The sequence below is a fragment of the Homo sapiens genome, chromosome 17 (genome assembly GCF_000001405.40).
Source record: "Homo sapiens chromosome 17, GRCh38.p14 Primary Assembly".
NCBI lineage: Eukaryota > Metazoa > Chordata > Mammalia > Primates > Hominidae > Homo > Homo sapiens.
The window spans coordinates 697,563-721,582 of NC_000017.11; the positions used below are offsets into that span (position 1 = coordinate 697,563).

The 24,020-nt window shown below is 46.1% G+C and overlaps 1 protein-coding gene across 9 annotated transcripts in view, besides 2 other annotated features; it reads right to left on the minus strand.

Moving 5' to 3' along the window:
- Positions 1-17,277, minus strand: part of VPS53 (VPS53 subunit of GARP complex) — a 206,172-nt gene extending 188,895 nt beyond the window's left edge. For 8 of the 9 annotated variants that reach the window (XM_047436345.1, XM_047436344.1, NM_001128159.3 and 5 more), the window contains exons 1-3: positions 17,061-17,277; positions 12,971-13,051; positions 1,769-1,818 (exon numbers count right to left, since the gene is read on the minus strand). In XM_047436345.1, coding sequence (XP_047292301.1) covers positions 1,769-1,818; positions 12,971-13,051; positions 17,061-17,147 — 218 coding nt within the window. In that variant the 5' untranslated portion in view covers positions 17,148-17,277. Of the gene's footprint in view, positions 1-1,768; positions 1,826-12,970; positions 13,052-17,060 lie in introns of those variants that run through there. The other variant, XM_047436346.1, reaches the window with a different exon arrangement.
- Positions 9,598-9,803: a silencer, noted in NCBI's record as "fragment chr17:610400-610605 (GRCh37/hg19 assembly coordinates)". NCBI's record gives its function as "represses an EF-1alpha promoter that drives an FKBP-Casp9 reporter gene in an ReSE screen in K562 erythroleukemia cells {active_cell/tissue: K562}" and the evidence as "EXISTENCE:reporter gene assay evidence [ECO:0000049][PMID:32094911]".
- Positions 17,749-17,818: an enhancer, noted in NCBI's record as "active region_11438". NCBI's record gives its function as "activates an Ori minimal core promoter by ATAC-STARR-seq in GM12878 lymphoblastoid cells {active_cell/tissue: GM12878}" and the evidence as "EXISTENCE:reporter gene assay evidence [ECO:0000049][PMID:35858748]".

Below are 24,020 nucleotides of genomic sequence, written 5' to 3' on the forward strand. Positions count from 1 at the left end.
ATTTATTCATCAACTTCTGCAGACTGCACCTAATTGTCCAGAAAACCAAACATGTGTGAGTGGCATCAGGCAGGAGGAGGGCAGCGACAGCCGTGCGGGAAGTCAAGCCCAGTGCAGGCTGATGCATCGCCTTGTTGTTAAAAATGCCTATTTTCACTTAATAGTCAGAGCTATCTGAAAGGACTAATAAAATCTGCAGGATTTTTCATGGAGTACATCAGGAATGACAAAGTTCCGGAGCCTTTACGTGAACATGCCAGATAACTCAAATTACCTCACACACAATCCCTTTCTCGGTCCCCTTATGAGGCGGAAAGAGCCAGAGTGATAGATGGAATCAGTGCTTCCGGGCCCTGATCATGCAATCCATGCCTGAGGCAGATCTACGGCTTCCAGCTCCTCTGCCCCCACGGTTCACAATGTTTAATCATGGGCCACCACCCAACCCACCAGCAGATCTGACATGGTTAGCTGTTATGTGACCAAGGGATACACATATAAGCCCATCTTCATGTCTAAGCCTTGGGAACACAAAAACAGGTAAATCCACAAAAACAGGGAAATAAAGCCATTAAAAAGCTAGTCGAAGGACAGACAGAATGGCTCACACCTATAATCCTAGCACTTTGGGAGGCCAAGGCAGGCAGATCACTTGAGGCTAGGAGTTCAAGACCAGCCTGGCCAACACAGTGTAACCCTGTAACTACTAAAAACACAAAAATTAGCTGGGCATGGTGGTGCATGCCTATAATTCCAGCTACTTGGGTGGCTGAGGCTCAAGAATTGCTCGAACCTGGGAGGTGGAGATTACAGTAAGCCAAGATCACACCACTGCACTCTAGCCTGGGTGACAGAGCCAGACTCCATCTCAAAAAAAAAAAAAAAAAATCTAGTAGATGTGGGAGACTGAGGCAGGCAGATTGCTTGAGCTCAGCAGTTTGAGACCAGCCTAGCCAACAAGGCGAAACCCCATCTCTACAAAAAATATAAACATTAGCAAAGTGTGGTGGTGCGCCTGTAGTCCCAGCTACTCAGGAGGCTGAGGTGGGAGGATCACTTGAGCCCAGGAGTTCGAGGCTGCAGTGAGCTGTAACTGCACCAGTACGCTCCAGCCTGGGACACAGAGTAAGACCTTGTTTTGAAAAAAAAACAGAAAAAAAGAAAAAAAAAATCTATCAGAAAAGCTTTTGCCTCCTTCTATAATTACAAAAGATGTTTTGAGTAGACTCTATCACAGCTTCCTTCCTTTTGTATGAAGAATTGAAGACTGGCCAAAGCATTGAGTTCCTTGCCACAAAGTTCATATGGATAAAATAATTATATGGCCGGGTGCGGTGGCTCACCCCTGTCATCCCAGCACGTTGGGAGGCGAAGGCAGGTGGATCACTTGAGGTCAGGAGTTCGAGACCAGCCTGACCAACATGGTGAAACCCCGTCTCTACTAAAAGTACAAAATTTGCCAGGCGTGGTGGCTCACACCTGTAATCCCAGCTACTAGGGAGGCTAAGGCAGGAGAATCACTTGAACCTGGGAGGTGGAGGTTGCAGTGAGCCAAGATCACACCATTGCACTCCAGCCTAGGCAATGAGCAAAAATCCGTCTCAAAAATAAATAAATAAATAATAAAAATTTTAAAAGGAATTATATTACCATCTATGGCAAACTTGAGATTTCAGTGCTCTCACAGAAAAATGTGATCCAGAATGTGATTAACTAAATTAACAATATACTTTTCATTAATTATGAACAATCACACAGCTTTACTCACCTTATTTTCAGCCTAATTTTGTTCACGACTTCGTCTATGTTCGCCAGAGACTACAATAAAGAAGGAAGAGTGCCCAGCTGTTAGTCCACTTCCTGGAATTCCTCTTTCACAGGAAAATGATGTGCTATAATAGCTACTTATGAAATCTCAAAAAATTTAATCACATGATATGAGTTTTGCTTTAAAAAAAAAAAAAGTAAAGCAGTAGTTGGAAGCTACAGCCACATCTAGCCCAGCCCCTGTTTTTTGTAAATAAAGTTTCACTGGAACACAGCCATGCCCGTTCACTTACATATTGCCTGCGGCTGCTCTTAAGCTAACATGGCAGGTAGGCAGTCGTGAAAGACGCTGTACAGCCACAAAGCCTGAAGTATTTACTATCTGGACCTTTACAGGAGAGTCTGCTGACCCATGGTGTACGTGATTGTGACAAATTCACGTAACGAAATACAGCAACAAAAATGAATGAATGCACAACACCATGGATAAACATTTTACTAACGGAATGGGGCACAGAAAAAGCCAGACACAAGGGGACAGAGGATATGATTTCACTAACATAATTCTCCTGTTAGAAGCTAGGACAGTGGTTATCTCTGGGGGAAGGTAGTGACAGTGAACAGGCAAGGAAAGGCCTTCTGAAGATTTTTTTAAATGTTTTATTTCTTGATCTGGGTGGCAGTTACATGGCTATGTTCATTTTGTGAAACTTCATCAAGTTGTACCCTTAAGATTTGTGTACTCCTCTGTATTATGTTATACTTCAATAAATACACAAATTTATTTTTTATTATATAGATCCACTAGAAAAAAGTCTGGAAGGATAGATAGGAGTAATTGTAATGTATTAGTAGTTGCAGCATTAGTAGCTATAATCTATCAACTACGTATTGCAATATGAAAAGAAGTGATTTCAAATTTTTCTTCTTGGGCCGGGTGCAGTGGCTCACGCCTGTAATCCCAGCACTTTGGGAGGCCAAGGCAGGCGGATCACCTGAGGTCAGGAGTTTGAGACCAGCCAGACCGTCATGGCGAAACCCCATCTCTACTAAAAATACAAAAAAAAAAAAATTAGGCAGGCTTGGTGGTGGGCACCTGTTGTCCCAACTACTCAAGAGGCTGCGGCAGGAGAATCGCTTGAACCCGGGAGGCAGAGGTTGCAGTGAGCTGAGAATGTGCCATTGCACTCCAGCCTGGGCAACAAGAGCAAAACTCTGTCTCAAAAAAAAATATTTTCTTCTTTTTGTCTGTATTTTATAATTATTGACTATGCACTACTACTGTGATTATAATAAGCTTATTATAACAACAATTAAAACAAAGGGATCACTTCTGACCTTAGAGATGAGAAAATGTGAGGAAATGGTGCCCCCTAATGGACAAGAGGAGGTACAATTTTATAGTACTATTTTAATTCAAGTTTTCAAAATACAATTTAATAAATCCTCTTCCTCTCTCCCTTAACAAATATTTTATCTCAGAAGGAATTAGGGATATTGTAGGAAATATGCTTATAAATTGCTTCTGGCTACCTCTGATGGGAGGAGGAGGCCAGGTGCCTTCCAGGAGCAGGTCTGGTAAGAGAAACAGGCCATGAGTGTTTGAGATGTCAGACTGGGTTGTCACAGCTCATCCTACTGTTCTGACCAAGCCAACAGTTACTCAGAATTTTCAGAAATCCAAGAACAGCTTGAGGTAAAAATGAATCTCAGGCTGGACGTGATGGCTCATGCCTGTAATCCCAGCACTTTGGGAGGCTAAGGTGGGAGGATCACTTAAATCCAGGAATTCAAGACCAGCCCAGACAATACAGTGAGATCCCATCTCTCCAAAAAATAAAAAAAAGTTAGCCAGGCATGGTGGCATGTGCTTGCAGTCCCAGGTACTCAGGAGGCTGAGGTGGGAGGATCACCTGAGCCCAGAAGGTCGAGGCTGCAGTAAGTCATGTTTGCACCACTGCACTCCAGCCTGGGCTAAACAGCCCTGTCTCAAAAAAAAAGAAAAACGAATCTCAGAAAAATTACTTTAATTTATATATAATTATATATATACATATATTTTTGTGTGTGATGGAGACTAGCTCTGTCACCAGGCTGGAGTGCAATGGCGCGATCTCGGCTCACTGCAACCTCCGACTCCCTGGTTCAAGCGATTCTCCTGCCTCAGCCTCCCGAGTAGCTGGGATTACAGGCACATGCCACCACGCCCAGCTAATTTTTGTATTTTTAGTAGAGACGGGGTTTCACCACGTTGGCCAGGATGGTCTCGATCTCTTGACCTCGTGATCTGCCCGCCTTGGCCTCCCAAAGTGCTAGGATTACAGGTATGAGCCACCGCGCCTGGCCAAGAGGAAAACATTTCTAATATCATTTTATGATAGCAAGTATTTTTATAATATCAAATAGCCTACCTTTAAGATGGCGGCTCACTCTGTCACCAAGGCTGGAGTGCAGTGGTGCAATCATAGCTCACTGTAACCTCAAACTCCTGGGCTCAAGCAATCCTCCCACCCCAGCCTCCTGAGTGGCTAGGAACAAAAAGGTACATGCACTGAGCCTGGCTAATTTTATTATTTTGTTATAAACACAGGGTCTTGCTATGCTGTCCAAGCTGATCTTGAATTCCTGGCTTCAAGCAATGCTCCCGCCTTGGCCTCCCAAAGCACTGGGATTACAGGCATGAGGCAGTGCACCCGGCCCTATAATATCATTTTTATAATATAATGAATGTAGCTTTTAAAAAGAACAGAGGCCGGGTGTGGAGGCTTATGTCTGTCCTTTGGGAGGCTGAGGTGGGTGGACTGCTAGAGCCCAAGAGTTAGAGACCAACCTGGACAACGTGGTGAAACTCCGTCTCTACAAAAAAATAGAAAAATTAGCCGGGTATGGTAGCACACGCCTGTAGTACAATCTGCTTATTAGGCTGAGGAAAGAAGACTGATTGAGTCTGTAAATTCCAGGGCACAGTGAGCTGTGATGGAGCCACTGAACTGTAGCCTGGGTGATGGGTGACAATCTCAAAAAGAAAAAATAAATAAAAATAAAATAAAAATAGGCTGGGCGCGGTGGCTCATGCCTGTAATCCCAGCACTTTGAGGCCGAGGTGGGCGGATCACAAGGTCAGGAGTTCGAGACCAGCCAGGCCAATATGGTGAAACCCCGTCTCTACTAAAAATACAAAAAAAAATTAGCCGGGCGTGGTGGCAGGTGCCTGTAATCCCAGCTACTCGGGAGGCTGAGGCAGGAGAACTGCTTGAACCCAGGAAGCAGAGGTTGCGGTGAGCCGAGATCGCGCCACTGCACTCCAGCCTGGATAACAGAAGGAGACTCTGTCTCAATAAATAAATAAATAGAAGAGAAAGAAATATCCTAAAGTTACACTATTTGATAGTCAGGTGGCCTTTGGGTGACTGTTTTCCCTTCATTTCCAGGCTTTCTGCTGGAGGGGAAAGGGAAAGGCTGCTAGCATTTAATGTGGATCTCCTAGGCAACAATTGCAGGCACTTCACAGAAATTATTTCCCTTAATCCCCTCTGCCAGGCGAGGCACACTTTTCTCCTCTTCAACGTTAAGATTGGGAACTATGGAGGCGGAGGCCGGGCATGGTGGCTCATGCCTGTAATCCCAACACTTTGGGAGGCCAAGGTACGTGGGTTTCCTAAGCTCAGCAGTTCAAGACCAGTCTCTGGGCAACCTGGCAAAACCCTGTCTCTACCAAAAATACAAAAAACTACCTGGGCTTGCTGGTGCACACCTGTGGTCCCAGCTACTCAGGAGGCTGAGGTGGGAGGATCGCTTGAGCCTGGGAGGCAGAGGTTGCAGCGAGCCGAGATCACACCACTGCATTCCAACCTAGGTGACAGAGTGGGAACCCACCTCAAATAAAAAACAGATGGGAAACGTGCTCTGCAGGACAGGTGCTTTGCCTGAAGCTGCAGAGATCCCACCTCAAATAAAAAACAGATGGGAAACGTGCTCTGCAGGACAGGTGCTTTGCCTGAAGCTGCAGAGATCCTCTTTCTTACTCTAGCATCTACCTCTAACGCAATGATTCTTGACCTAATTTTCCTGCACCCCAAGACACCGGACAGCTATGACACACCCACTCTCATCAGTTAGTTCAGTGTCTGGCTATGGCAGTGATCCTCACCAGGGTCGAGGGCCTCTCCTGGAGTTGGGGAAAAGCCCTGTGGGAATCCACATTGGCTGGGCAGAGGGGTTTATCCTGCTTTGAGAATCACTCATCTCGTTTAGTTATAATGTGGTTGTACAGTTTTGTTTACTTTTTAAATGTTTTAGTTATTGCAAAATATTTCCTGATTCTAATGGTAATTCTTGACAATTACAGAAAATAGGTAGTCATCTGCACACCCAGGACAGTATGACCACAATCAGAATTTTTGCGTATTGCCTTCTACTACGAAACTGTATAGCTGTACAAAAATAAACTGGGATGATAAGCAATTTGGCATCTTTTTTTTTTTTTTTTAAGGCAGGATCTCATTCTGTCACCCAGGCTGCAGTGCAGTGGCACGATCTCAGCTGACTGCAACTTCCACCTCCCAGGCTCAAGCGATCCTCCTGCCTCAGTGATCCACCCGCCTTGGTCTCCCAAAGTGCTGGGATTAGAGAATACAGCCATGAGCTGGATCTTGGGTTTTTTTTTCTCTTAACAATACAGATCCAGAGCATTTTTGGGGTCACCAGAAACTCTTTAGAAACATCCCCATATAACTCTTTTCTCAAAGTTCCTAATTATGTTAGTTTTGTATTAGTTTTCCATAAATTTCATTTAGTTTCCTCTAATCAAACTTTCAAATGATTATCTTCAGTTTACTATTAGGAGGCTAAAACGATTTTCTAGACCACTGCGACCAAACCTGGCTACTATTTAAACCCCACAGGCACTCTGCTGCATGGAAAATCCCAAGCTCCTCTCAGGCCTGGCTGGGTGAAATAGTAAGAGGCATCCATTCCAGGCCACTCAACAGGCTCCAGACAACCGCAGACACACAAGTACTTCCACTCAACAGAAACATATTCTCACCCTCCTCCTCACAGTAACACTAAATTCACTCTGGAAATACTGAAATCTACTTTAAACAATCTAAACTCATAATGTACAAGTGTTTACTGGAGGTCCATGAGGTATACAGATGGTTTTTGCCCAATATCTGACAATAGTTAAATTTCAAGCTATGCCACTACTTTCTACTACCTTTTCATTAAGATCCACAGGAATCTGGCTTAGATTTCACTCAGATGACCTGCTAAGTGAAACTCTGAGACTAGAGAAGTAAAGATAACCCTGTGTCATAAATGTTCTGAGTTACTCTAAGAAACGTGACTGTACATTATCATATACCTGGGGCATAATTAGACAAGACACAGAACTGAATCTGTGGAACAACAAAGATCTTGAGTTTTCAGTAGTTTAAAAAAAAATACAGCACATACACACACACCACAAGAGGTGAGAACCTGGTGGTTTCCTACAAAATTTTCAAATCTAACACTTCTTTTTGTTTTGGTGAATCAGCAATTACTATCTTTATCCTAGCTATTCCCAAATGTCTATCTCCAGCTAATTCCTAAAATTCCCCTTTCATACAAAATGATGAGCTATAAAGGCTTTTCGTGAAATCTCAAAAAAGACAATCACACAGTATATCATCTTTTAAACTTTATTTTAAAAATCAGTATATCCATTAAAAAAAGTTTGGAAGGATCTGCCAAAATATTCACAATGATGGGGATCAAGAGCTCTGCACTCAAATACCCAACAACTTATTTCCACCTGGATGACCTGAGTATGTTCAAACTTGGGCTCACCTTACAGCCCACTCCAGCCCTACCTGCCACTGAAACCTGCTCTTTCTCCTTACACTCAGTAATTGGGTAAAGTGGAAAGCTGCCATTACCCATCCAGTCAGCCAAATCTGGCTACCTAGAAACCAGTTCAAAATTCTTAACTTAGGGCCAGGCACAGTGGCTCAAATCTGTAATCCCAGCACTCGGAGAGGCTGAGGCAGGAGGGTGGCTTGAGGCCAGGAGTTCCAGACCAGCCTGGGCAACACAGCAAGGCCCAGTCTGTAAAAAAAAAAAAAAAATTAAAAATCAGCTGGGGCTGGGCGCGGTGGCTCACTCCTGTAATCCCAGCACTTTGGGAGGCTGGGGCAGATGGATCATGAGGTCAGGAGATCGAGACCATCCTATCCTGGCCAACATGGTGAAACCCCATCTCTACTAAAAATACAGAAATTGGCTGGGCGTGGTGGCGCGTGCCTATAATCTCAGCTACTCGGGAGGCTAAGACAGGGGAATTGCTTGAACCAGGGAGTGGGAGGTTGCAGTGAGCCGAGATGGCACCACCCCACCCCAACCTGGTGACAAAGCAAGACTCCATCTCAAAATAATAATAATACTCAGCTGGGTGTGGTGGCACACACCTGTAGTGCTAGCTACTGAGGAGGCTGAAGTGGGAGGAGTGCTTGAGTCCAGGAATTTGAGGTTGCAGTGAGCTATGATTGTGCCACTGCACTCTAGCCCGGGCAAGAGAGTGAGACCCCATCTCAAAAAAAAATTATTAACTTGGCCTGTAGTATTCAGCTAAAACACCATTTCCTCAAGGGAGTAAGCCTTTTCAATCCATCTTGAGCAAGTAAGGCCCTGGGTTCTGCTGTCACTGTATTTGGCATGCTTCCTTCATGGCAACGCTATCACATTTAAGCCGAGTGTTATCTTTCCGTGCCTCGTGATTCTTACTCTAAAATAAGAAGGATAACAAAGTGGAGTTTATCACTGTTTAGTGCCTAGAGTGCTGTCGGGTACACAGGAAGTATCTAATAAAGATTACTATTACAGTTGTAGTAAAGGTTATATAAGAGCAAGTGACAAATAATATTTAAAAATTATATGAGCAAGTCAGGCCAGGCGTGGTGGCTCACGCCTGTAATCCCAGCACTTTGGGAGGTCAAGGTGGGCAGATCACAAGGTCAAGAGATTGAAACCATCCTGGCCAACATGGTGAAACCCCGTCTCTACTAAAAATACAAAAATTAGCCAGGCTTGGTGGCGCGTGTCTGTAAACTCAGCTACTCAGGAGGCTGAGGCGGGAGAATCGCTTGAACCCAGGAGTTGGAGGTTGCAGTGAGCCGGGATTGTGCTACTGCATTCCATCCTGGCAACAGAGTGAGACTCAGTCTCAAAAAAAAAAAAAAAAAATTACACAAGCAAGTCATTGTAACATCATAATTTACCTATAATCTGTTACTGTGAGATTAACTATCAAGATAGACTATGAAGTCTGTGTTGGTAGACTATATCTGTCTTGCTCACTTCTCTACCCCAGATTTCTTATAAAGCTAGGTAGAGTGGGTGTTTTTTTAACTGAATAAACGAATGAGTGAATTTTGGATTCTCCATGACCCTCTACTTTCATGCCCTCAGGTACCAAACTGCATGACTTTGGTCCCCTCAATAGCTCTCAGATCTGGTTCTCTCTATCCCACAGCTTTTCTCCAGGTCTCACCATCTCTTTCCAGTGATCTACTGCGTGAGTCTCCTGCCTGTAGTCTCTCCCCACCTCCATCCCTTGCTCGTCCTCCACATGGCTGCCAGACGGAATTTTAAAAACGTGAATGTGCTCCAGTCATTATCCTGCCAAAAGTCCTTCAATGAATACTCACTGCCTACAGCAGCAACCTCCAGAGCAGGGTGCGAACGTCCCCACGGGGTCTGCCACACTGCCCCCTGGGGTGTGAGGAGCAAACACTGAAGCCTCTATGTTTATTTTCTATTTATATAGCAAATACTACTGAAGCCTAACATTTAAAATTGGTACTCACATATGTATATAATATTCTGGGGATACAGGCTTAAAAATTATCCAAGTGAAAATCAGCTCTGTGGGTCGGGCGCGGTGGCTCACGCCTGTCATCCCAGCACTTTGGGAGGCCGAGGCGGGCGGATCACCTGAGGTCAGGAATTTGAGACCAGCCTGGCCAACATGGTGAAACCCCATCTCTACTAAAAATACAAAAATTAGCCGCGTAGTGGCAGGCCCCTGTAATCCCAGCTGCTCAGGAGGCTGACACAGGAGAATCACTTGAACCCAGGAGGCAGAGGTTGCAGTGAGCCGAGATCATGCCATTGCACTCCAGCCTGGGGGACAAGAATGAGACTTTGTCTCAAAAAAAAAAAAAAAAAAAGAAAATCAGTTCTGTGAAAAATATTTGGGCCAGGTGCAGTGGCTCATGCCTGTAATCCCAACATTTTGGGAGGCTGAGGCGGGAGGATCACATTAGCTCAGGAGTTCGAGACCAGCCTGGGCTTCGTAGTGAGATCTCGTCTCTACTAAAAAAATTTTAAAACTTAGCTGTGTGTGGTGGCATGCGCCTGTAGTCGCAGCTACTCAGAAGGCCGATGTAGTGGGAGCGCTAGAGTTCGGGAGTTCACAGTTACTGTGATTGTGCCACTGCACTCCAACCTGGGCAACAGAGTAAAACTCTCTTTCAAAAAAAAAAAAAAAAGGAAGAAAGAAAAAAAGCATTTCACTGAAAGGCATGTGGTCTCCAAAAAAACTGGCAACGATAAGCCTAGAGGACAGAGATCCTCCAGGATCCTTGCTCTCCCTCCTCAGCCTCATCTCCTGTGAGTCTCTGCTCACTGTGCACATCTTATGTCTCCTGTTTCTGTGCCTTGGTCCTGTGTTTAGAAGGGCCTTCTGTAGGGTCCAGCCCTACGGGGCCTTGTGGGTTTTCTCTTCGTGTGCGGAGACGAGAGATTGTAGAAAGACACGAAACTAAGAAGTAGTAGGAAAGACAGCTGGGCCCGGGGCACCACTACCACCAATGCACAGAGTCCAATAGTGGCCCCGAATGCCTGGACCCACTGCTATTTATTGTATACAAGGCAAGGAGGCAGGGTAAGGAGTGTGGGTCATCTCAAATGATTGACAAGGTCAAGCAAGTCACATGTCCACGTGACAGGGGGCCCTTCCCTTTGTGGTAGCCGAAGCAGAGAGGGAGGACAGCAGACGTCAGCATTTTTTCTTTGCACTTATCAGAAAGATCAAAGACTTTAACACTTTCACTAATTCTGCTACTGCTATCTTCTAAGAACTTAAAGGAGGAGCCAGGTGTACAGGTGGAACATGAAAGTGGACCAGGAGCATGACCACTGAAGCACAGCACCACAGGGAGATGCTGAAGCCTCCGGATGACTGTGGGCAGGCCTGGGGAATGTCAGGCCCCCCACGAGAGCTGGTGGAGCAGAGTGTTCTCTAACTCCCCCAGGGAAAGGGAGACTCCCTTTCACAGTCCGCTAAGTAACGGGTGCCTTCCCAGGCACTGGCACTACCGCAAGACCAAGGTGCCTTCAAGCAGCCCTTATCCAGGCATGACAGAGGTTCTCACTGTTGTCTTCTGGTCTCCTGACTCTGTATGGCCTGGTTTTTCCTTGGTCGTAATAATGAAACAAAGATTAATACTAAAGACTAATGATTGATAATATCCATATACAATCATCTCTATATCCTATTTCTATTATAACTCTACTTATTTAACTATTTTCTTTATTATATTGGAACAGGTTGTGCCTTCAGTCTCTTGCCTCGGCACCTGGGTTTCTTTCCGCCCACGCCTTCCTTCCCTCATCATCCTGGAAGAGATACCTAGCTGCTGGCTCTGTCTAGAATACTGTTCTGCCAGACTGCTGCAAGCTTGACTCCTTCCTGTCCATCAGGTCTCAGCTTAGAGGGAACCACCTCACAGAGAACTTCCCGTTAAGCCCCTTTATTTAAAGGACCCTCCGCAGCACGCTCTGTCACGGAACCTGCCTGGTATCACGGCGCATCACGCTCTGTCACGGAACCTGCCTGGTATCACGGCGCAGCACGCTCTGTCACGGAACCTGCCTGGTATCACGGCCACCATGTTTGATCATCTCTAGTGTATTTGTTGGTTTATTTCTTGTCTTTCTCCCTACACTAGACTCCATAAGACCAAGACCAGATTTGTCATGTTTACATTTCTCCCTAGTTTCTAAAAATAATACCTGACACTTAGCAGACATTTAATAAACGACTGCTACGTTTTACTAAATGAATACATGAATGAATCCCTCAAGCTCGGCAGACAGGCTACCTCCTCTCTGAAGTTGTGATTTTCCTTGGAAGAACTGGTCTTTGTTTCCTTACCGCACTGTCCCACTGTCACTGACGGCATTCGCCAGGGTCTCCCACCACTTGATCCTGCACACCTCAAGGGCATGGACTGGACCTTATCATCTCTGCACCCTCAGCACCTAGCACAGTGACTGACAACACATGACAGGCACCTACTGAACAACTGCTGACTGAAAAAATGGAAACGAAGCGGGACTCTCACTGCCCTTCTCCCAACTCTGCTACTTCCAGTTCTGGTCTACTTCTCACCCAAACACCCAAAAACCAATTTTGTAAGAAAATCCATCTCCACAGGAAAATCACCGGACAAAAAATAATAAAACGTGAAGTCTAAAAATCTGTATCTTGAGGCCGGGCGCAGTGGCTCACGCCTGTAATCCCAGCACTTTAGGGGGCCAAGGCAGGTGGATCACGAGGTCAGGAGTTTGAGACCAGCCTGGCCAACATGCTGAAACCCCGTCTCTACTAAAATCACAAAAATTAGCCAGGCGTGATGGTGGGTACCTATAGTGCCAGCTACTCAGGAGGCTGAGGCAGAAGAATCGCCTGAACCCAGGAGGCAGACGTTGCAGTGAGCCGAGACCGCGCCATTGCACTCCAGCCTGAACGACAACAGCAAAACTCCGTCTCAAAAAAACTAATAAATAGAAATAAAAATTTACATCTTGAAATAGAGGTGAAAGTGGCTTTATGATTCTGGGCTTATCCTGCCTGCCTCACCCCCACTTGTCCCTACTACATTATAAAAATCCTTTCCACTTTCAATTTACAGCAGAAAATTTGGGAGGACTCTCACAACCTAAGAGTACAATTATTAATAATATGTTCACTATACAATGAATTCCATTCCAACACAGTGTAGCTCACTGCCCCAGCTGGTGATGATGGAGTTTGATTTGAATTTAACTCTCCCTTGTGTATCAAGGGCCCGTAGATGATCTAGTGTAACACACGAAGCATAACACCCAAGATGTGCCAAAAGCTGCTGAAAGGAAGGAAACCTGAAACTCTACTTACTTGCTCGGTTGGGAACAGGGTATTGATATACTCAACAGCATTGAAATCTGCTCGATCTAGAGGGTCCTGGCTTGGAAACACCTATATAGAAAGAGAGGAGTATATATAAAAACATGTAGTATACCGTAAATATATATAATTTTAATTTGTCAATTAAAAGGAAAGGGCCGGGCACGGTGGCTCATGCCTGTAATCACAGCACTTTGGGAGGCCAAAGCAGATGGATCACCTGAGGTCAGGTCTCTACTAAAAATAAAAACTTGGCTGGGTGTGGTGTTGGCGCACACCTGTAATCCCAACTACTCAGGAGGCTGAGGCAGGAGAATTGCTTGAACCCGGGAGGCGGAGGTTACAGTGAGCCGAGATCACACCACTACACTCCAGTCTGGGCGAAAGAGCAAGACTCTGTCTCAAAATTAAATTAATTAATTAATTAATTAAAATAAGGCTGCGCGGATCGCTTGAGCTCAGGAGTTGGAGACTGGCCTGGGCAACATGGTGAAACCACATCTCTACAAAAAAAAATTAGCTGGGTGCCATGGCACATGCCTGTCATAGTCCCAGCTACGTGGGAGGCTGAGATGGGAGGATCACCAGAGCCCAGGAGGTTGAGGTTGCAGTGAGCCGAGATTCTATCACTGAACTCCAGCCTGGGCGACAGAGTGAGATCCTCTCTCAAAAACAGTCCACCTCTAAGACATACAGCTAACTCCCTAACAACCTGAAGAACACGCAACAAGGTGGATGATACAAGCAGCCAAATTATCCACTGGACACTGGGTCTCACCCAGCTTGATAGAGTTACAACTGTGGGAAGCAACTTCATCTCTGAAGAAGCCTTCCAAAGAAATATAGAGTCAAAAAATCAAAATATCTTCAAGACAACTGTTAGAAAAGCTGAAGCCTTCTACCACATCAAGAGGAGGTGGATGAGAAGAAAGTGAAGATGTTTTCTTTTTAAAATGTTCAGCATTGCTGTTTCCATAATGCACATATACACAGGTTATTTACACAGTCTCAATGATACGTGCTCACCAGAGGGAAAGTATAACCCACAGAGAGCAGGATACAAGAGATACAAACTATTTCCTCAAGTTGCTCTCAGTTTCTGTATTCCTCTCACGACTCCTAGGTTTTAGTGCTGTCCTAGGTTTTAAATTGTTTTCATGTAACAAGGCTCCTAACAAAAGCCAGCTGAAAAAAGAATGACTGGTTCCAATGATGGAGGAAAAAAACTAACAGCCCTAGACTTATCAGAGATGCATACGTGGTACTTCATGGGCAATTTTTTTTTTTTTTTTTGACACGGAGTCTCGCGCTGTCACCCAGGCTGGAGTGCAGTAGCGCGATCTTGGTTCACTACAAGCTCCACCTCCCAGGTTCATGCCATTCTCCTGTCTCAGCCTCTTGAGAAGGTGGGACTACAGGCGCTCGCCACCATACCCGGCTTATTTTTTGTGTTTTTAGTAGAGAAGGGGTTTCACCGTGTTGGCCAGGATGGTCTCAATCTCCTGAACTTGTGATCCACCCGCCTCGGCCTCCCAAAGTGCTGGGATTACAGGCGTGAGCCTCCACACCCGGCCTTCATGGGCAATTTAAAGAACTTCAGGGCAGAGTGATTTTCATGTCTAGAGTGACTTTCGCCTTTTTTTTTTTTTTTTTTTTCGAGATGGAGTCTCACTCTGTCGCTCAGGCTGGAAGGCAGTGGCACCATCTCAGCTCACTGCAACCTCTGCCTCCCGGGTTCAAGCAGTTCTTTGCCTCAACCTCCCGAGTAGCTGAGATTACGGGCACCTGCCACCATGCCCAGCTAAATTTTTGTATTTTTAGGAGAGACGGGGTTTCACCATGTTGGCCAGGCTGGTCTTGAACTCCTGACATCGTGATCCACCCGCCCTGGCCTCCCAAAGTGCTGGGATTACAGGTGTGAGCCACCGAGCCCAGCCAATTTTCACCTTATGCAATGACTCTGGGACTTCATCTTGGAGTAAAATGTGATTCCATTTTATCAACCCTTCCTGACTCCTCACACATCACTACTCTTTACAAGTATGCTACTACAGAATTTCATTCAGAGTGCTAAAGTAAGAAAAAATTCTGAATTCATCTTGACATAATGATGTCTGAATTCTGCTTGACATAAAGATGTCTGCTATACTATCACTCAAACTTATTCTTACAAAATAGGAAAAATGTCAGAATTCACCGCTATGTAATTCATCCATGTAATCAAAAACCACCTGTACCCCAAAAGCTGTTGAAACAAACAAAAGAAATAGCAAAAATGTGCTTTTCTGATACCTGTCAACCAAACAGTAACTGACTGCATTATTCTTTTCTTCCATGAGAGCCCACTAGTCCAAAGAGCAACAGAAATGTTATGTCTTTTTCTGGCAAAAGGAGGTAAGTGGTGGAGCCGTGTGGCCGGAACACTAAAAGCTTCCTGCCCAATGGTTTGGCGTTCTCAGGCTAGGACAAAGTTGGTTGTATAAGTAATCCAACCACTACTGGAAAAACACACATCGAAGCGTCAATGAATGCACCTGTAGTCCCAGCTACTCGGGAGGCTGAGGCAGGGTTATCACTTGAGCCCCAGGAGTTCGAGGCTGCAGTGAGCTACGATTATGCCACTGTACTCCAGCCTGGACAACAGAGCAAGACCCTATCTCAAAAAAAAAAAGTTTCCCAGGGGTCATTAAATAAGGCATAATGGAATTGTCCATTTCCTCAATCATAAATCCCTTTCTTAAATCATATAACTTCATGACAATTCCTTTAAGGGAGATTTTCTCCGTTTATCAGGAGCAATACCCTGCAGTATTAGAAATCACTATTTCTGACCGGGTGCAGTGGCTCACACCTGTAATCCCAGCACTTTGGGAGGCCGAGGCGGGCGGATAGCCTGAGGTCAGGAGTTCAAGACCAGCCTGGCCAACATGGTGAAACCCGGTCTCTACTAAAAATACAAAAATTAGCTAGGCATGGTAGCGGTTGCCTGTAGTCCCAGCTACTCAGGAGGCTGAGGCAGGAGAATCACTTGAACCTGGAAGCGGAGGTTGCAGTGAGCCGAGATGGCACCCCTACACTCCAACCTGGGCGAAAGAGCGAGACTCCGTCTCAGAAAACAAAAAAAAAGAAAAAAAGAAAAGAAAAAAATCACTATTTCTAATATCATTAGCCTTAAAAACTCAATAAACTTGCAAAGGCAAGAGTTCCTGCAGGCAGGGCCGCGCGTGGTGGCTCACGCCTGTAATCCCAGCACTTTGGGAGGCCAAGGCGGGCGGGTTACTTGAGCTCAGGAGTTCGAGACCATCCTGGCCAAAACGGTGAAACCCCCGTCTTTACCCCAAAAAAAAAAAAAAATTAGCCGGGTGTGGTGGCGTGCGCCTGTAATCACAGCTACTCAGGAGGCTGAGACAGGAGAATCGCTTGAACTCGGGAGGCGGAGGTCGCAGTGAGCCGAGATCGTGCCGTTGCACTCCAGCCCGGGCGACAGAGCGAGAATCCGTCTCAAAAAAAAAAAAAAAAAAAAGTTCCTGAAGGGAAAAGAGGCCCCTTGGGAGTATTCTCCAACCTCACCCAAACTATTCAACGGTAGGAATTCTCAACCTTTTAAGAATGGTAACGATGTCATTTTTCAACACTTTCTCTCTTCTCTGCCGTCCGCTTCAGAAATTAAAGTCATTCCCTTCCCCCAGTTCCAAGCCACTCACGAGGTGCCAGCTTGCAAAACCGGGGCGTTGGCACGAGTCTGGTAAATGCATGAAGCCCCCACAGTCCCCAGAATCTGAGGATGGCACCCAAGGCCTGCATTCTCCTAGCGTCGTCCTCTCTAAGCGCACAATTCCTTTCCCCAAAACCACCAGAACCCCCAGCCCTCGCCAAAGACAATCAAAGCCTAGAAAGGGTTCTCTTTCCTTTCCTTCTGATTCAGAAACCGCTTCTCACCCGCACCACCTCCCCACCTCCACTTTCCCTTCTGCCGCGAGCCCCCGGCCCTCCGTCCACCCGCCGCGGCCTCCCCAGCGCCCGGAGCTGCCGTCTCCCCTCCCGCACTCCCGTTTCCCCTCCTGAGGGGCGGAACGCTTACCTGCTCGATGGCCAGCTGCACCTCGGGCGTGAGCTGCAGCACGGCTTCCAGCTCCTCCACGAACTCCAGTTCCTCCTCCTCCATCATTCCGCCACCCGGCCCCCTGCCGACCCCCGCCGCGAGCCCAACTCAGGCCTCCAGCCGCCACCCAGGCCCCAGCACAGCAACTCCCTCGCGGCAGCGACCTGGTGAGCCCGGCTCCGTCAGCCGCTCTGTCAGCCGCTCCGGCACTTCCGGCAGGCCAGGGCACTTCCGGGACCGGGGAACTGTGGGATCACGGCGGACTGAGACTGGCGGCGTTCCTGTCACGTCAGGTGTCTCCCGGGCAACGCAGTATCCCGGCGGCCCCGCGTGGCCTCAGCGCGTCCTTAGGATGGGCGGGGCCTCTTCCCTCCCCAAGGCGCGCCCCGCACTGAGGACCCCGAGGTTGGGGTAGGGTCTGGCCTCCAGCAGGACGCCCGGATGAAAGTCAGCCCTGCGGCGTCGCCAACCGCAGCCCACAGCCTCCGCGGGCAGCGCAGCGGCGACCTCTCAGCTCCCGGGGCCCCCTCGGTCAGTGGCAGCGGGTGTCCCCGGCCACGGGGGCGACGTGATCCCAGCTGGCGAGTGGCGATGTCGCCAAGGACATTCGTAGGACGGGACAGTGCCCACTCGATAGAAATTCCCCGTGCGCCGGGCTCTGCGCAGAAGCTTTTCGAGGTGACTGCAGCCTCCTTATGGGGAGAAACGTCTTTTTTTTTTTTTTTTTTTTTTTTGAGACGGAGTCTTACTTGTTGCCCAGGCTGGAGTGCAACGGCGCGATCTCGGCTCACTGCAACCCCGCCTGCTGGGTTCAAGCGATTCTCCTGTCTCAGCCTCCCGAGTAGCTGGGATTACAGGCGCCCGCCACCACGCCCAGCTAATTTTTGTATTTTTAGTGGAGACGAGGTTTCACCATGTTGGCCAGGCTGGTCTCGAACTCTTGACCTCGTGATCCGCCCGCCTCGGCCTCCCAAAGTGCTGGGATGACAGGCGTGAGCTACTGCGCCCGGCCAGAAACGTTTTTTTAAAGCCAGATGACGCAGCGCCCTGGAGCTGGGGAGACGTTTACTGAGGTTGAATATCCGGGATCTAAGTCCTGAATAGTCCACCATTGATAAGTTGTGTGACTTGGAACAAATTACTACCCCGCGTCGATGTGGAGAGGATTAAACATTAACAGCGCGATGTAAATTCAAGCTGGTAATACAGGAAATAGTGAGGTGCCCAGCCCTTACCCCCACAAAGGAACAAATAAGCCAGATCACCGATCACCCTGTGAAACCACCTTTCCTGCAGACACTGAAAAGAAGGAGGGAATTGCAGCCCAAGGAGGACCCGCTCCACCAGGTGAACCGGGAAACTCCAGGAGGGAAACGCGTTGGCCCCACTGAACTTTTTTTTGTTGTTGTTATCAGAGTTGCTCAAAGTAAAAAATAGGAGCAGTATGATTTTTTCTTTTATTTTTAATTGACAAATAATAATTATATAAACAATGTAATTTCTAACAACAAAGGAATGCTAAAAAATATACATTAAAAAAAGAAAAAAAAGACAAAATAAAATATACATTGAACCTGGTGCAGTGGCACAGGCCTGCAGCCCCAGCTACTCAGGAGGCTGAGGCAGGGAATTATTGACTTTCTGAGATTGAATATCAGGGGTCTAGATCTCATCCCACCACTGAGGATCGCTTGAGCCCAGGAGTTTGAGGCTGCAGTGAGGAATGATTCCTTTGCGCCACTGCACTCCAGCCTGGGCCACAAAGGGAGACTCTGTCTCTTAAGTAAACATAGAATATTATTGATTCATAAAATCATGATTTTGAAAATTAATGACATGAAAAATATGCACAATATATTTCAGAAAGCAAAATGTATAATTTCATTTAAAAAATGCATAGCATGGTCCCAGCTTTGTGTGTATTCTGTGCCAATAAAGCTCACAGCAAGGAAATATTACTTTTCTGCACGTGATGAATGTACATCCTTTGTACATTTTCCCAAATGTCTACAATGAGCCTGTAGTTCTCTCATGCTCAGAAAATATGAATGCCTTTTTCTAAAAGGAAAAGGTAATTATAGCTACTTATTTTGGACTTTTTTTTTCCTTTAAAAAATTAAGATATTTACATACAGTAAAATTTACTCTTGCAATTTATGATGCAGTGAGTTTTGATAAATGTGTATAAACGACTGGGCATGGTGACTCACGCCTATAATCCCAGCACGTGGGGAGGCCGAGGCTGCCAGATCACTTGAGGTCAGGGGTTCGAGACCAGCCTGGCCAACATGGTAAAACCCGTCTCTATCTACTAAAAATACAAAACGTAGCTGGCCGTGGTGGTGCACAGAATCACTTGAACCCGAGAGGTGGAGGTTGCAGTGAGCCAAGATTGCACCATTGCACTCCAGCCTGGGTGACAGAGCAAGACTCCATCTCAAAACAAACAAACAAATAATAAGAAAACAATAATAAAACAAAATAAATAAATGTATATAACCATGTAACTACTACCACAATCTAGTTATAGGACAATTTCATTCCCCCAAATTCCCTCTTGCCTCACCCCATCCACTGGCAACCACTGACTTGATTTCTGTCCCTATAGTTTTTGTTTTTGTTTTTGTTTTTTTGAGACGGAGTCTCGCTCTATCACCCAGGCTGGAGTGCAGTGGTGCAATCTCAGCTCACTGCAACCTCCGCCTCCCGGGTTCAAGCGATTCTCCTGCCTCAGCCTCCTGAGTAGCTGGGATGACAGGCACGTGCCACCACACCTGGCTAATTTTTGTATTTTTAGTAGAGACAGGGTTTCATCATGTTGCCCAGGATGGTCTCAAACTCCTGACCTCAGGTGATCTGCCAGCATCAGGCTCCCAAAGTGCTGGGGTTACAGGCATGAGCCACCACGCCTGGCCTGTCCCTATAGTTTTGATATTTCCAGAATATCATATAGATGGAATCATACAGTATGACACCTTTTCAGTCTGGCTTCTTTCATCTGTCATAAAGTATCTAAAATTCATCCATGTTGTTGCATGTATCTGTGGTTCATGTCTTCTTGCTGGTATTCCACTAGATGAATACACCACTATTTGTTTATCTAGTCCCTGGTTGAAGGACATATGGGTTTTTCCAGTTTTTGGCAATTATGAATAAAGCTGCTATAAACATTCATGTACAGATTTTTGTGTGAACATAAGTTTTCATGTCACTTGGGTAAATATGTAGATGTGGGATTGCTGTGTTATATGATATGTCTGTGTTTAACTTTCTAAGAAACTGGTAAACTGTTTTCCAAAGTGGCTGTATCACTTTCACATTGCTACCAGCAATGTATGAGAGTTCTGTTTGCTCAGAGAGCTTATTTTTAATGATGATAATAAGAAGGAAAATTTCCTAGCCCTTACTATATGACAGGTACCATTCGAAGCATGTTACATGCATTGTCTCTTTTAATTCACACAGCAATTCTGAGGTTGTTAGTTTTTATTACTATACCCATCTAACAGATAGGAGATGAAGATCTAGTTAAAACAAGCAACAAAATAAAAATTTGCCTAAGGCCGTATACCTAAGTCTTCCTGCCGTTCATTAAGCTAGTCAATACATTTATTGAACACCTGTTCCTGTTAGCGACAGGTACTCAAGCTAGGTGCCGGGAATTCAGCAGTGAACAAAATAGACCCCATGCTTGCCTCTACAGAGCTATTTCTATGTATGAAAAGGGCATTTGTACAAATAAACATATAATTGTGATAGATCCGATAAAAGAGAAGTAAAGCACATGTTGAGAGACTATATGGTTAGAGTTCTGATTGGATTAGGGGTCAGGAAAGCCTTTTCTTTCTTTTTCTTTTTCTTTTTTTCTTTTTTTTTTTTTTTTTTGAGACAGAGTTTCTCTCTTGTTGCCCAGGCTGGAGTGCAATGGCGCGACCTCGGCTCACCGCAACCTCCGCCTCCTGGATTCAAGTGATTCGCCTGCCTCAGCCTCCTGAGTAGCTGGGATTACAGGCATACGCCACCACACCCGGCTAATTTTTGTATTTTTAGTAGAGACGGGGTTTCTCCATGTTGGCCATGCTGGTCTTGAACTCCTGACCTCAGGTGATCCGCCTGCCTTGACCTCCCTAACTGCTGGGATTACGGGTGTGAGCCATCAAGCCCGGCCAGGAAAGGCTTTTCTGAGGAAGTGATTTTTAAGCTGAAGCCAAGGGTTGGAAGTGAAGATAACACATAGATAAAAGGAACAGAATGTGCAAAAGCCATGAGTATGAAAAGAGTCGGCCAGGGTGATGGAAGTTTGAAAGCCCAAGGGAGAGTGATACACGAGGAAGCTGGAGAAATGGGCACTGCCGGACGGTGAAGGATCTGGAAGGTCTTCTTGAAGGAATGGGAAGCCTCTGACGGACTGTAAGCAGAGGAGGGGCATGACCAGGTTTACCATGCCTGCCATCAGCCCTGGTCTCTCTGTTTTTTGTTTTTTGTTTTTTTCTTTGCCTCTGAGCTTCCCATATTGTTGTGGAGAATCATGAAACCAGGGTGACCATGTTCAGCACAAATTCCTGTTGCCTTATTTCCACTGATTCTCATTGTCCTTCTCAGCATCCATTGTCCGTTCTCAATGGCACTCTCCCGTGACCCAAAACCTTTGCCTCCTCTGGAGCTCCCAACTCCATGATACCCCTTCTCCCTCTTTGCAGATAAGCTACTAATAATATAAGTTTGAGTTTAGGAGAGTTATGCAGTACAAAGAAGTAAAGGAAGTTAAAAGAGCAGAGAGATAGGTTGACACACTGGGTTTTAAAAAACTTCTTTAAGTAATAACAGACTAGATTGATTCATTTATGTCAAACAAAAGAAGGAAATACCTTTGACAGGAGGTGGAAATCTAGAAAGAGATTGTATACTTCTGACAGAAATAAAATGTGGAAGTTTATGGATATGAGAAATTTGGGTATGAAAATAAGGAGCACGTGATATTTTCACAAATGAGCTGGGCTCAAAAAAAACAACTTCCAGGCTGGGCACGGTGGCTCACGCCTGTAATCCCAGCACTCTGGGAGGCCGAGGTGGGTGGATCACCTGAGGTGGGGAGTTCGAGACCAGCCTGACCAACATGGACAAACCCTGTCTCTACTAAAAATACAAAATTAGTCTGGCATGGTGGCGCATGCTGGCGCATGCCTGTAATCCCAACTACTCAGGAGGCTGAGGCAGGAGAATCACTTGAACCCGGGAGGTGGAGGTTGCAGTGAGCCAAGATTGTGTCACTGCACTACAGCTTTGGTGACAAAGCAAGTCTCCATCTCAATAAATAAATAAAATACATACATACATACATACATACATACATACATACATACAAAAAATTAGCTGGGTGTGGTGGTGGGCACCTGTAATCCCAGCTACTCAGGAGGCTGAGACAGGACAATCTCTTGAACCTGGGAGGCAGAGGTTGCAGTGAGCCAAGATCGTGCCATTGCACTCCAGCCTGGGTGACACAGAAAGATTCTGTCTCAAAAACAAACAAAAACCAACTTCCTATTTTGCTGTAGGATAGGGTATAGTGATGACAAAGTTTCACAGAAAACATTTTTCTACCTTGAAATTTCACCGTCTGAGGCAGAAATTCAGTCTCTAATACTTTAAAAGTAAAACAAAACGAAACCTTGGAGACTGTGGCCTTTAGTAGGCGATGGGGGAGGATGGATTGGAAGGGAGTATACAGTAGGCTGTGAGAGAGATGGGGGAGGAGGGATTGGAAGGGAGTATACAGTAGGATGTGAGGGAGTTGGGGGAGGATGGATTGGGAGGGAGTATACAGTAGGCTGTGTAGGAGATGGGGAGAGGAATTGGAAGGGAGTATACAGTAGGCTGTGAGGGAGGTGGGGAGGATGGATTGGGAGGGAGTATACAGTAGGCTGTGTAGGAGATGGGGAGGATGGATTGGAAGGGAGTATACAGTAGGCTGTGAGGGAGGTGGAGAGGATGGATTGGAAGGGAGTATACAGTCGGCTGTGAGGGAGTTGGGGGAGGATGGATTGGGAGTATACAGTAGGCTGCGTAGGAGATGGGGAGGATGGATTGGGAGTATACAGTCGGCTGTGAGGGAGTTGGGGGAGGATGGATTGAAAGGGAGTATGCAGTAGGCTGTGTAGGAGATGGGGAGGATGGATTGGAAGGGAGTATACAGCAGGCTGTGTAGGAGATGGGGAGGATGGATTGGAAGGGAGTATACAGCAGGCTGTGTAGGAGATGGGGAGGATGGATTGGAAGGGAGTATACAGTCGGCTGAGGGAGTTGGGGGAGGATGGATTGGAAGGGAGTATACAGTAGGCTGTGTAGGAGTTGGGGGAGCATGGATTGGAAGGGAGTATACAGTAGGCTGTGAGGGGGTTGTGTGGCACCCCTTGAGGAAACGTCAGACTAAGATGGAAACATAACACCAAACCTCACATGAGGAGTTTCCATAACGTTTCTCACCTTGCCAAAAAATGCTTTACGTATACTGTCTAGAAATAGGAATTTTAAAACAGCCTTTGTTAATGAAATTCAGTGAGATCTCTAAATGTCATGTGTCTGTGTCAATGTAGCGTTAATAACTCTGTGGAAAGGAATCTCCAATATCCGGTTATATTTGCAACCTTGTTGTCAGAGCGCAGAGGTAACTGCCCCGTCATATACGGAGTAGACACTGTGCAAAGTGTGTTCTTCCATAAGATCAAGACGGTATCTTTCCACATAAGCTTCCCTCTCTGTAAGGACCTTCTCCAAAATAGCTGAGCCTTCTGTAAAACTGCTTGTGAAAAAAGAATTGCAGGACGTCTCAATTACCTGGTCCATGCCCACTAAATGCCAGTCAAGCAGTACCTTTCCTCAACAGTGACAGAAGCAGCAATACCTCCCACACATCTCCAAAATGCCCCCTAGGCTTCCCAA